Below are 13,562 nucleotides of genomic sequence, written 5' to 3'. Positions count from 1 at the left end.
CTGGGCTCGACAGACGGAAGCCCTCCTTAGGATCTGCCTCTGGAGCTGGTAGGGCAGAGGAGGAGGGACTGGCTCCGAATTTATTCTGGTGTCAGTAGCAGAATCTGGCATCCAGTGTTGGCAACAGTGGCCCCCTGACCAGGTCATTCCTGAGTTGTCCCCTTGGCTAGGGCTGGGGCTCTGACCACCCAGCTCCCCCAGTTCCTGCCTGTTTTCTGAGTCCTGTTCTCCAGCCATCCTGTCAATTCTCCAGCACTGCCCAAGCTCCTTCTAATAATCTCCTTTGCTGCTTACAGCAGCCAGGGTTGTTTCTGTTGCTTGTTATCAAAACACTGGCAAACAATTACTTTGATGAGTGGACTTATGACAGCCTCCAGGCTCTCCAGCAATTGAGGGCAACAGTGACACTTTCCACGGGTGTCTCTGCCCTTCTACACAAACCCTTTAAAAACATCCCTACACACAGCTCTGGGGTCTTATCACCCACCTGCTCAGTGGCTTCTCATACATCACACTGACCACTTTCTGACCCTGCAAGTGAGGGCTAATGGAAAAGGATCCCTTACTAAATTCCACTTTGCCTGCACTCGGCAACAGGAGTCAGAGTTTGCTTGTCATCCTGCTGCCTACTCAGAGCTTTTGTGCCTTGGAGGTGGGCTCCACCGTCCCTCACTTCCTGGTGGATGTTGGTGTTGTAGCCTCTGCCTAGGATCAGTGGATCTGCCACCAGACCTAGAGCAGAAACTCACGGGTCTGAAGTCAGGAGACCTGGGTTCCAGTCCTGCCTCTGGCCCCCAACCATGCCCTTGGGGGTTGTTATGATTTGATGTATGTGTTTCCCCCAAATTTCTATGTTGAAATCTTAACCCCCAAGGTGATGGCCTTAGGAGATGGGGCCTTTGGGGTGTGATGAGGCCATGAGGTGGAGCCCTCATGAATGTGCCCTTAACAAAGAGGTCACAGAGAGACCCTCACCCCTTCCAACACGTGAGGACACGGTTAGAAGGGGCCATCTATGAGGAAGCGGGCCCTCACCAGACACAGAATCAGCCAGCACCTTGATCTTTACTTCCCAGCCTCCAGAACTGTGAGAAATAAATGTTTGTTGTTCATAAGCCACCTCGTCTATGGTAATCTGTGACAGCAACCCGACTTAAGATAGGAGTCTTCCTTTTTCTCTTGGAGCTTAGTCTTGTCACCTGTAGAAAGCCTTGTGGGTCCCTTGCAACAGTGACGTGCCCAAATTCTTGAGTGAGACCAGCTGTGGCTCCTTTCCCTTGCTTCCCCCAGAACCTTCCCAAATTTGCAGTCACAGCTCACTCACTGAATGGAACTGTCTCTACCTCCACAGGGTCTTGCCACCTGCTCCTTCCTGTGCACTTATTTCCCGGTGCTTGGTGACTCATTGACAGAAGCCTGCCCAAGCGAGGCAGAAGGACCCAGCAGCTCTGCACTGACTGCTAGCTAAGGAGCAGGAGCCCGGTGGGATGTTGAGCTCAGCAACCCGACGGAGAAAGAAGGAAGGAAGAACAGCAAAGGCCAGGGCTCAGATGCCTTAAATGGACACATGCATACTGGCGCCTTCCTTCGTATTTATTTCGTGGCTAGGCAGCTCAGTTCTCCTCCAAATTAATCACCTGCTAGCAAATCAGATCTTGTACTAGATTTCTTATACCATGATTTCAACAATATTGATAAATGGATTATATGCAAACAGCCAAGTCATGGCTGCCTAGGGGCTTTCCAGATGAAAAATGGCTCCTTTGCTTCTAACTTCAGAGCTGGGGGTCTTAAATATTTTAGTGTTAATCTGACAGCAAAAGCATAAGCCTATGTGTCACCTTCCCTCAGGGAGGGTGGGAAGTGGCAGAGCAGCCAGTTTCTCCCTGCACTTAGGTGACAAATACAATGCAATTATACCTGCTTTCTTCCTGGCTTTCCTACAAGGCTTCAACGAGAAAGAAGAAAAGCATGGTCAAGTTCACCCCAACTTTGGGTCTCACCCCACTCTTCCTGGACACATCAATACTATAGTCTCCCAAACCACAAAGATGAGAATTCGGCATCTGCCAGAGCGGGGGATCTTATCTCCACCCCCAATCGCCGAACATCCTCTAGGTCAGGCAGATGAAATCATAAATTTATAATACAACATTACTTCAATTTTCCTCTTCATTTACTGCTGTGCAGCCCAGCTCTGCTCGAATGGTTCACAGCCCCAGCCACACGGGGGAAATTGGCTGGCTGCATATCAATAGCACATTACAGCAGACCCGTGCAGACGCTCCGTCAAGCCACATTACGGTGGGATGACCCAGCCACCACTTCCATTAGCAGCCTGGCCCCTCCCACACTGGCCACTGCACAATTTATCTGCTCCAATACTCTGGACGCCTGATCAATCCCACAGTAATTATCTCTTGTCACTAAAGTAAAAAAAAATCAAGGCTTCTGCCAGGGTGACCACCTCTCTTGCAGATCGGCTTTCCATTGCAGAAGCAAAAATACAGAAATCAACAATAGAATTTGGATTTGCCACTGAGCTCATTTTGAGTCCCCATTTTGGGGATGCTGACAAAGTTGTCAAAACTGTGGTTCTGGTTCTAGATCTTTGCTGCAACCCTAGAGATGTTTCCCTTCTAGACGGGTCCATGACTCATCTTCTCCCGGGCTCTGTTACTCAGCTACTCAGAGTCATGGAAAACGGCTCCCACCAGGCCCCAGACTTGAAAGAGACAAGAGACAGGGCTGTTTATCCAGGGAACTGCCAGAGTGTGACATATCTGCTGCGTGATGTTTAGAGCACTGCCTGGGGCACCTCATCGGCTCCATGAGGTCTGCAAACAGACTAAACACCAAGTGCCAAGAGTCCTTCCTAGGCAAGGACGCGAAGGCTAAAGTCTACAAAGATGCTTTGCCCCCAGAATCACCCTGAGTTGCAGGGGCTCCTCCAGACCTGCGCCGTCCAATTTAAATTTAATTCAAATTATCTAAAATGAAAGCTCCAGTTCCTCATTCGCAAAAGCCACAACTCAAGGGCTCAGCAGCTACCGTGCACAGGCGGCTAGTGATATTGGCTAGTGCAGACAGGACCTTCCCTCCCTTGCAGGAAGTTCTATTGGACTGCACTGCTCTACAGGGACAATGAAGAGCTGAATTCTGAGTTTCCTCTGTCCACCAGGAAGCGGCTAAACAAAGGAACACTTCCTTGAGAATAACCTAAACAGATATTTTTGGGAAAGCCAGATCCCCGTCGAAATTGAGTGTAGATATGTGGTTTTAAGTTCCAGCCAATCTCCAATCTTTTGATCTGTTAGTGAACGCCAGCAGATTACAGCTTCCTAGTGCCTGTTCTTAACGATACTTTTTTTTTTTGCTCACATTTCAGGGGGCTTAATGTCAGGGAACACTGAGTCAGGACTTCACGCGGGGCTTCTCAGTACGACTGCACCTAAGAATGCTTTTGGCTAACGTGCTTTAGCTGATCATCAGCCTCTCTTCGTTTCTGGGCCTGCTAGGGTGAAGCTTTTCTTTGAGGGCTCAGCAATGTGCTATTTCTCTAACACTCGTATCAGCATGTTAAATAAACAGCATGTGCCCAACGAGGCCAAGAAAGTTAAAGGCAGTGGGATTATGTGGCAGAGAAGGCTCAGAGAAATAAAATATATCAACAATCATCATGTGTTTGCTTTTATTAAGTTCACCTTCATTAAGAAAAATGAAAGAGATTCTATCACATTGAGCTGGATAACTGTGGGCACCTCTTGGTGCGGTGCCGCAAAGTCTGAGGGGCTGCACGAGACCATTTCTGTTTTTTTGTTTGTTTGTTTTTGAGATGGAATCTTGCACTGTCACCCAGGCTGGAGTGCAGTGGTGTGATCTTGGCTCACTGCAACCTCAGCCTCCCGGGTTCAAGATTCTTCTGCCTCAGCCTCCCGAGTAGCTAGGACTACAGGCATGCGCCACCATGTCCTGTTAATTTTTGTATTTTTAGTAGAGATGGAGTTTTCACTATGTTGGCCAGGCTAGTCTCTAACTCCTGACCTCAGGTGATCTGCCCGCCTCGGCCTCCTGGGAGTAGAGGCATGAGCCACTGCACTGACCTGCAAAAGACCTTTCCTAAGAGTCTTAGGTGACTCTGGTTTTGTCCGGCTCAAAGGTGGGAGACCTGGCCTAAGGATAACCCCTCCTCTTCTCTTCTACATTCCTTTTAAGGAATTCCCATTGGGTTGATTATTCTGTGATTCTGTCAAACGCTGTAAAAGCTAAAACCAAAACAGGTGTAGGTTTTCCCCAAGGATGTCTGCAGCCATATCAACAGAGATCAAGATAGAATAACTGTGCAACTATATGCTTATCAGCCTCCCTCTGAAGAGACCACCCAGAGTATGGAGAAAATCTTAAATGATATTTAAAAATTAGTTCCACAGTGTTCGAGTCATTTGCAGACCAGTGTGCTGGTTGTCTCAGACTCCTCACTAGAATGTCAGCTCCCTGAAGTCAGAGACTTAGTTTTCTGCTGCATTTTCAGCATCTAGAACAGTGCCTGGCACTTAGTAGGTACTCATTTAATAAATATTTGTTGAATGAATGAATTTTAATGTTTTAATGGTTTATAGTCTCACTTCTAAAAAATCCCTAGAAGTGCTATTTATTTTTCCACTCTTTCAATAATAAAAGTTTAAATCATGGAAACCTCGTCTAATTTCATTGGTTAGTTAACTTTAAGAAAATGTTTTTCTGCATGAGTCAAGTTCATCAGCCAGATTGCTGTTGGTGAGGATGGTAGTGCTTCCAGGACTAATATGCAGGCATAGTGCTCGGTGGAGATGGTGACCCATGTAACTGATGGGGTCATGTCAGGCCATGCTACCAAAAGATTTGACTCTGCCTGATGCTACACTACCACTTTCGAGGGAAGAAGCAAGAAGAAAGAGAAACAGTCTTTGATGACAGAGTCAAGGGCTTCCATCATAGCACAGCAAATGGCAGTCTCCTCGCTTAGAGAGTCCATAGACCCAGAGGGCCAAGCTGGGCCAATGGGCAAAACAGAGGGCAGCCCAGGGAGTTCCCAGTGGATGCTTTACAGAGGGCTCAGGAGGAGGCTCTGTGATGGCTGGGGAGGCCTGTATCTCCTCAGATACAACTTGACACTGCATCTGATTCATCCCTTCTGCCTGGACCTCTGGCTGAGCTGGTTCCTGGCTGAAGGACACATTTTGGGACATCTTAGGAGACCCTGCTCAGTGCATATGGATGGCCTCACCACAGTCACTGGGAAATTCAGGAGGGCCCAGGGCTGATGAGGCCTGGAATCCAGCACACAGATCTTTGTCAGAAGGTGGCTACTCAAGAATAATCCAAACTCCTTGGGCTGGGAGTCCACAAGGAGAAAGAGGCCGCAGTTGCCACAGCACAGGTCACATTCGTGAGTCTAGCTAGGTTCTCAGCCTTGGGTGGTAAGGAAGTCCAAGTGGTAGGGCTTCCTAGTGCCTTGTTAATAACAACTCCCAGCTTGAGTACATGCTACGATACCTTGCTGATTTGAAGACACACATCTTTTCCACACTTTAACTTCTCTGAAAGTGGGATCTATCTTGCAGCCAATGTGATAAGAAAGCATTATGCGGTTTAATTAATAGCATATTTTTTCTTTCTGAAGAGTACATGAACATACATCTTACTAGCCATGGCATCTCAGATTAGACTAAATACAGCATTTACCAGGCAAGATACAGTTGCATTTATCCCTGAACAACCCCATGAAGTAAGATTATTACCCCATGGGTAGGATAAATGAAGAATAGAGAGGCTAAGCCACTTGCCCCAAATCACACAGCTGATAGAGTGAAGAGTCCAGGTCTGCTGATTCTGAAGTCCCAAGCTCTTGCCTCTGGACCACACGGCCTCCCTTGCTGGAGCCCTGCTCTGGCTAGGGCTGACCCCATCCATTCCATCCAAAGGGTTCTCTACTTGGTTAGAAGAAGACTAGTGCCTCTGTGACCTGGGGTTGGGCTGGATAGGGTCTGGGGTTAGGCACAACCACAGCTACAGCAGGCAAAAGGCAAAGGCCTTCAGCAGCAGGGTGGGGCTGCGGAGGTTATAACTCAAGAACAATAGGCTCTGAACTGCAACAATATCTTTACCTAACAGCCCCTTCTTTACTGTGGCTTGGGGAAGTCATAACTTGAACTGTGAGTAGACGGGGGAAGAGCTGGGCAGATGAGTAAGCTCCTGGCAGGCATCACATATCCATCCCCCAGCGAGCAGGCGCTGTTCAGATGCTGTCCAGATAAGCGCAGGGACCAGTGCTGTCTCCTACCACCTCAGTAGGTGCTCTCAGGAAGGGGCCACTCGGGTCTGCCCACGAGCTGCAGGCAAAGCCAACCCTGGAGCCCCTGGGCCTGCCTCTCCCCACCTTCCCACACACACGTGGCCAGGCTCGTTGGCTCTCAAGGTCCCACAGTAGGGTCCTCGTGTTCCAAGCCTGTTTATTCCGAATGGAAGGCCCCTGCCTTACTCATCCTTCTCATTTCTGCTGAAATGCCACTTCCCTGATTCCTAAGACTGGCTTCCACTCCTCATGACGTGCTCTCCAACCACCCCCAGACTCTATGATGATCATCAGGCATCTGTGCAATTCATGTTACGCATCAGGCTCTCTGTATAGACCACAAGCTCGCGGAGGGCAGGAAGCACATCTGCTTGTGAAGCACTGTGTCCCAAGGCTACCCAGGGCTGGTCACGCAGCAGGTGCTCTTGCCCCTTGCCTCCTGCCCCGCCTCCCTACCTGTGTTCCCATGATGAAATGTTAGGTACCCTTCTGTTCAGGGATCCCTGCTTGGGTGATTATGGAGATGTGGGCCTGAGCCTTTGCTCGGAGTCTGGGAGGCTGAGCACTCTTTGCTCTTTGTCAACTGACAGGACCTGAGCTGGCTCCGCTTCACACCTTTGCTTCTCCCAGATGAAAACCAGTTCCTTCTTCCCAGCATGCAGAGGGTACCAAGTTAGACTCAGAAAGGTGGGAAATTTCCTGAAGTTGGATCCTGAAGGTCTTCCATTTTATGCTGTAGGGCCTTTATGCTCATTTTAAATTCAAGACTCTAAAACCCAGTAGGTGGTAATAGGCTCAACTCTTTCTTATTTTTATTTTGCTTTTATTTATTTATTTTTTTAAGAGACAGCGTTGCTGGGCGCAGTGGCTCACGCCTGTAATCCCAGCACTTTGGGAGGCTGAGGCGGGTGGATCACAAGGTCAAGAGATCGAGACCATCCTGGCCAACATGGTGAAATCCCGTCTCTACTAAAAATACAAAAATTAGCTGGGTGTGGTGGCGCGCGCCTGTAATCCCAGCTACTCGGGAGGCTGAGGCAGGAGAATTGCTTGAACCCAGGAGGCGGAGGTTGCAGTGAGCTGAGATCGCGCCACGGCACTCCAGCCTGGCGACAGAGCGAGACTCCATCTCAAGAAAAAAAAGAAAGAGAGAGACAGGGTCTTACCATTTTGCTCAGGCTGGTCTTGAATTCCTGGGCTCAGGCAATCCTCCTGCCTCGGCTTCCCAAAGTGCTAGGATTATGGGCATGAGCCACCGGCCTGGCCCCCAACTCTTTCTTATTTTATATTTTTTCAGAAACAGGTCTTGCTATGCTCTATGCTGCCCCGGCTGTGGTGCAGTGGGTACTCACAGGCACGATCCCACTCTGATCAGCACAGAGTTTTGTGCTGCTTCATTTCCAACTTGGTCCTGTTCACCCTCCTTAGGCAACCTGATGTTCCTCCACTCCTAGGAGGTCACCATATTGATGCCAAATTTAGTGGGGACACCAAATCTGCACAGCCCAGAGTTCCTGGGCTCAAGCTTTCCTCCCGCACCAGCCTCCTGGGTAGCTGAGGCCATAGGTGCACGCCACCACACCCCGCTAATGTTTATTATTATTATTATTATTATTATTATTTTGAGACAGAGTCTCACTCTGTCACCCAGGCTGGAGTGCAGTGGCACAATCTTGGCTCACTGCAACCTCTGCCTCCTGGGTTCAAGCGATTCTCCTGCTTCAGCTTCCCAAGTAGCTGGGATTACGGGCACGTGCTGCAGTGCCCAGCTGATTTCTGTATTTTTAGTAGAGACAGGGTTTCACCATGTTGCCCGCACTGGTCTTGAACTCCTGACCTCAGGTGATCCATCTGCCTCGGCCTCCCAAATTGCTGGGATTACAGGCATGAGCCACCATGCCCAGCCTAATGTTTATTATTTTTTGTAGAGAGGGGGTCTTGCTATGTTGCCCAGGCTGGCTCATAAACTCCTGGCCTCAAGTGATCCTCCTGCTTAAGCCTCCCGATTACAGGCGAGCACCACTGCACTCAGCTCAACTCTCCTTCTTTCAGGTTGATTTCACCATTTAAAACTACCAGCTTAGAGTTTCTTTTGATATAAAACATAAAGACCTAATAAAAATTATTTTTTAAAGGAGGAGCTAAGGAATTATCTTGTAGTGAACCAGGAAATAATTATCACTGATTTTTAAAATCACACTCTTAAATATAGGTATATTTAGTTTAGACTCTACCCTTTTCTATCAACTGGTGCATTCCCATATACCATACTGTTTTAGTTACTGTAGCTTTGTGTTACATTCTCACTGTTGGTCTTTTCTCATTCCTCTTTTTAAAAACATTTTCTCATTTATTCTCACTTGTTTCTTCTTCCAGGGATAAGTTTTAGAAACATCTGGCCAATTTAAAAAAATTACAATAGGATTTCTCTTTGAAACTCTGTTAAGCCTAAAAAATTCATATGAGGAGAATTAACATCATGGCCATTTTTAATATTCTCCTGGCATCTTTTTCTATTTCATAAAGTTCCTCAAAATAGTTTTACCTGCCCTTGTTATTTCCTCAGACAAGTAGATACAATTCTTTGTCAGACCACAAGATGTTTTATAAATTTAAAATTAAGCCAGAAGTGATTTAAACAGCAGCAAATCTGAAAATATAGAAAGGGCTTATCAAACAATGTAGAAGTGGGACTCTTAGCCAAACCAAATGAAAATCCATTAACACTAGACAGCTCATGTGCCTGAATGGAATTTTACCATTAACTACCATTTATCCCACTTAATTAGTATTTTCCTGACACACAATAACTTGCACTAAAATACCATTCTCTCGCCTTTAAATTTCTAATTATTGTTGCGACCTACACCATTACGCATCTCCACTGCTTTCTCCATCTTTCATGCCATTTAAGCGGTAAGATTTTCAATTATCTACGCAGGACGGACAGAGATACTTTTAAGGAAAGGGACATAATATGCAACTCAATTTCTCTAAAAGCCAGGAGAAATCATTTTTAGTCAGAACAAACACACTTTGTCTTTCATCTTTTTTTTTTTTTTGGCAAATAAAGAGTAAAACAGGCTATTTAAAACATCCATTTAAATGCAAATTTTGATATCCCAAGAGAAAAATGTTAATCATTTAAATAGACAGGATTATCGCCCACCCTTACCACTTCCCTCCTCTCCCAAGTTTTAGAAAACGTAGCCTTAGCCCACACAAGTCAAGTCAGCCAGGAGTCCTTACATCTTAAGAACTCCCACTCAGATGAGAGGGCTGAGGCAGATAGAGGGGGACTTTTCCTTCTTTTGAGGAAGGAGATGGAAAAGAGAGAAAATAGTCTAACATATCCTATAAGCCAGGCATGGGGCAATATTATAAATACAAACACACACACACACACACACACATGCATGCACACACACACACCCACACTTAATCATCACAACTGTCTTGGAACGGGGAATTATCATCCTCATCTACAGACAAGGAAACTGAGGCTTAGAAAGGTGAAGCAGTTTGCCCCACTGGTAGGTGACCCAGTTGGGAGTAGAGGCCTCCATAGCCCTCCCAGTCCATGGTGACCTGCGGTCCTGTCCAGACTCACCCAGCATCCCCATGCCAAGCATGAACGCGTCCATGGTGTAAGGCAGTCCCCGGGCCCGGCCTCTTGTCCCAGGTGGGAACATGACTTCTTTCGGCTGAGCTTTCTTACATTCTACCTGTTAAACAGAAAGGCGAACAAATGAGATGCAAATGAATTCCACGTAAATGTCAAATGCAGAACCTGTCTGGTTATGAGCTAAGTTATTTTTAGCCTTGCTCCTTACCCACTGTAAAAATAGCCATGCCGAGTAAATGGCCTGCAAAATAAATACTTAAGAAAACACGCCACTTGTGCAAATCCTGCTTCGGAAAAACCTACAAGGATGAAACTGGGTTCTGGAGGGGTGGCAAGGACGTAAGCTGCAGATATACACACAGATTGAAGCTCAGGCTGACGCTCGTGCAGAAAGCATGACAGATAAGGAGGCAGACAATGGCTGTTGGATGTGTCTGTGAATAATAACAACAATAGCAATAATAATAATCCCTCAGGATTTTTCAGCCCTTTACACATTTACAAATGCCCCTGACATTCTCTCAGGCCAGTGACTCTTCATGCCAGGCCATCTGATTCAAACTCTTATTAAACAGACAGACCACTTAGCCTTAGCTCCAGTTCACAGATGAGAAAACAGAGCATCAGAAGTTTTGTGTTGGCTGGGCGTGGGGGATCATGTTTGTAATCCCAGCACTGTGGGAGGTGGAGGCAGGTGAATCAGCTTGAGCCCAGGCGTTTCAGATCAGCCTGGCAACATGGTGAAACCCCGTCTGTACTAAAAAAATACAAAAAACTAGGCAGGTGTGGTGGCACACACCTGTAGTCCCAGCTACCTGGGAGGCTGAGGTAGGGGGATCACCTGAGTCTGGGAGGTCAAGGCTGCAGTGAGCCATGATCACGCCACTGCACTCCAGCCTGGGTGACACAGCGAGACCCTGTCTTAAAAAAAAAAAAAAAAAAAAATTCTTGTGCAACATGCTGAAAGCCCTCCCCAACAGGTTCAGGCCTACAAACCAGATCTTTAGAATTTCTAGGTCAGCAATGCCACATTTCCACAAAACCTACACCACCACCACACTCCTGAGGGAAGTAATAAGATTAAACACTGATTCTGTTCATCTGGATTACTAGTTTCTCATTTGCAGCTACATTTTCAAGTGGTTGCTAATCTCCCCTTTCTGTTTCCCTTCTGACTCTCAAATTTCTTCATGCTAATCTGCTTGTATACCCAGAGGTCACTTATTTAATAACCTTAACTATGCGAACTATAAACCTCAGGGAATAAGTAAAACTGTGGCCCTCGGAAGCTCCTTCACTGTTTTACCAGAGCGCCTTAGGCCTGTGCTTATTAGCACTTATTTGCTTTTTGTTTACAGAGAAATTTAACAAGCATTGTTAGCCAGTCATCAATCCCACTGCTGATGAAGATGGGATGTTGCAGGGTAAGGCACGGATGCTTTTAACAGCCAAAAGAAACAGCATGGCCGCCTGATAGTGACGGAGAAAAGACAAGAAACAGGTATCTTATTTAAATGACGGAGAAAAGACAAGAAACAGGTATCTTATTTAAAGAGCAGTCTGGGCCATATGGTATAGGAACAAAAGCTCTACATAGTTCAACAGCTGCTGAGGTATCACTGTAACACAGAAAATTGCTATTGTTCACAGGTGTGCCTGAGATAGCAAGAAAAAGTTAAACTGTGTGCAATATACATTGTTTAAACAGAGACCTCTAGGCCGGACGTGGTGGCTCACACCTGTAATCCCAACACTTTGGGAGGCTAAGGCAGGCAGACTGCTTGAGTCCAGGAGTTCGAGACCAGCCTGGCTATCGTGGCAAAACCCTGTCTCTACTAAAAATACAAAAAAATTAGCCAGGTGTGGTGGCATGCTCCTGTAATCCCAGCTACTTGGGAGGCTAAGGCAGAAGAATCGCTTGAACCCGGGAGGTGGAGGGTGTAGTGAGCCGAGATCGCACCACTGTACTCCAGCCTGGGCGACAGAGCGAGACTCTATCTCAAAAAATAAAAAAAATAAATAAAACGAAAATAAAAAAGGAACCTCTATGGGTTATCCATTTTGGAGATACTCACATCCCAAATACTTCAATCAAAAAATATTTTAGTGCTCAAGGTTAGGGGGATGCTATAATTACCTAAGATATAAGTCACCTTTCTTCAAAGACACCGGACAACAGGTATTACTCTTGCTCTTTCAAGAATAACCACAAATGCCTTAAAAAGTGGACAAAATGGTTCAACATTCATGACTAATATGCTTAATACAGAGTTCTATAGATTAAAAGAGATGAGCATCCCAAAACAGACATGGGTAAAAGACAGGAGTAGACAATTCACAGACGGCTAATAAAGAACACATTCCCCAAGATGAAGCATATTTTTTGCCCACAGATTGACAGTGATGAAAGCATTGTTTGATGTAAGGGTTTCTGACGGTATAGTGTGGAGGGGTGGAAATTGGCACGTATTTTTCTGGAGGGCAACCAGACACTACATCAAAAGCCATAAATTTATACATACACCTAGTAATCTTACCTCTAGGAATTTGCCCTACCGGAATTAGAATTTTTTTTTTTAATAAAAGGAAATACCTAAAATATAGAAGAACAGGGAATTAGCTGAGTTTGGATTATCCACACTGATTGAATGCTATGCAGCTATGAAAAAGTGTGTTGATAATAATCATGCACTGGTACTGGGAAACCCCTCAGTCCCAGGCAAACCAGGATGATGGGTTTCTTTAACTGCAAGCGGGAAAACAGCAAATGTCACTGACTTTTTGAAAAATAAACAAGTGCATATATCATATAGGGAAAAATACTGAAAAGACATACTAAAGTTGTCTTAGAATCACTCTGTTTTTAAATTTTAATTGGGCATTTTGCTAGTTATTTTCTAAGCTTTCTGCTAAGCAACAGGGAGCAGGTTTTTGTAAGATAATGCAATAGACTGTCACTGATAGGGCTATTAGAATATTGTCATTGCAGGTAGGGGGGAAAGGTGATTGAAAACAACAAACTCATCCAAATTGGCTCTTTTAGGTTTCTCTCCTAAGCCCAGGGGTGAAAACTGGCTTCAGGACTCCAGAGGAGCAGGCTGAGAAATCTCATTTGCATGAACCTGCCCCAAGCCTAGGAAGATGGGCGTGTCTCGCACAGGCAGACAGATAATTACCCAAAGCCAACACCAGCAAGGGGAATAATACCGCTAACCAGCTCACTTCCTAATAGCCCTATCGGTGACAATCTACTGCATTGTCTTATGAAAACCTGCTGCCTGTTCCTAGGCAACCCGATCAACGGAAATCTCAGGTTTATACAATTTTCATTTAGGGAACATAAAGGTTAACTGACTGTAATGGGAGTGTTTTAAACAAACCCACCTACTCTTCCTCTCACTGAACAGGGCTGACAGCTCTGTTTAATTCTGCTCTGTCTTTGCTGCTGGTGGTTTGGGCAGCAATGACTGTCTGAGTGCCAACCACCTGCTGGGTCAACGGTGAGTGTTCCCCAAGGCCAGGGGCCATGGCGCATACACTCTCCAGGGGACCCTGGCCTGTCCTGGGCATCTGAATGACAGGGGAAGGCAGCAGGTAACAGTT

General features: G+C 46.2%; 1 protein-coding gene and 1 pseudogene across 12 annotated transcripts in view; both read right to left on the bottom strand.

Moving 5' to 3' along the window:
• The window catches only part of MSI2 (musashi RNA binding protein 2), a 445,731-nt gene that overhangs the window by 75,553 nt on the left and 356,616 nt on the right, over positions 1 to 13,562 (bottom strand). For all 12 annotated transcript variants that reach the window (NM_001322250.2, XM_047435313.1, XM_047435314.1 and 9 more), the window contains one exon: positions 9,945 to 10,059. In NM_001322250.2, the coding sequence (NP_001309179.1) occupies positions 9,945 to 10,059 (115 nt within the window). The remainder of the gene's footprint in view (positions 1 to 9,944; positions 10,060 to 13,562) is intronic.
• Positions 7,636 to 7,921, bottom strand: RN7SL449P (RNA, 7SL, cytoplasmic 449, pseudogene; annotated as a pseudogene).

Source organism: Homo sapiens, chromosome 17 (genome assembly GCF_000001405.40).
Source record: "Homo sapiens chromosome 17, GRCh38.p14 Primary Assembly".
Lineage (NCBI taxonomy): Eukaryota > Metazoa > Chordata > Mammalia > Primates > Hominidae > Homo > Homo sapiens.
Note: the sequence above shows the minus strand (reverse complement) of the source record. Positions and strands in the feature narration are given on the sequence as shown.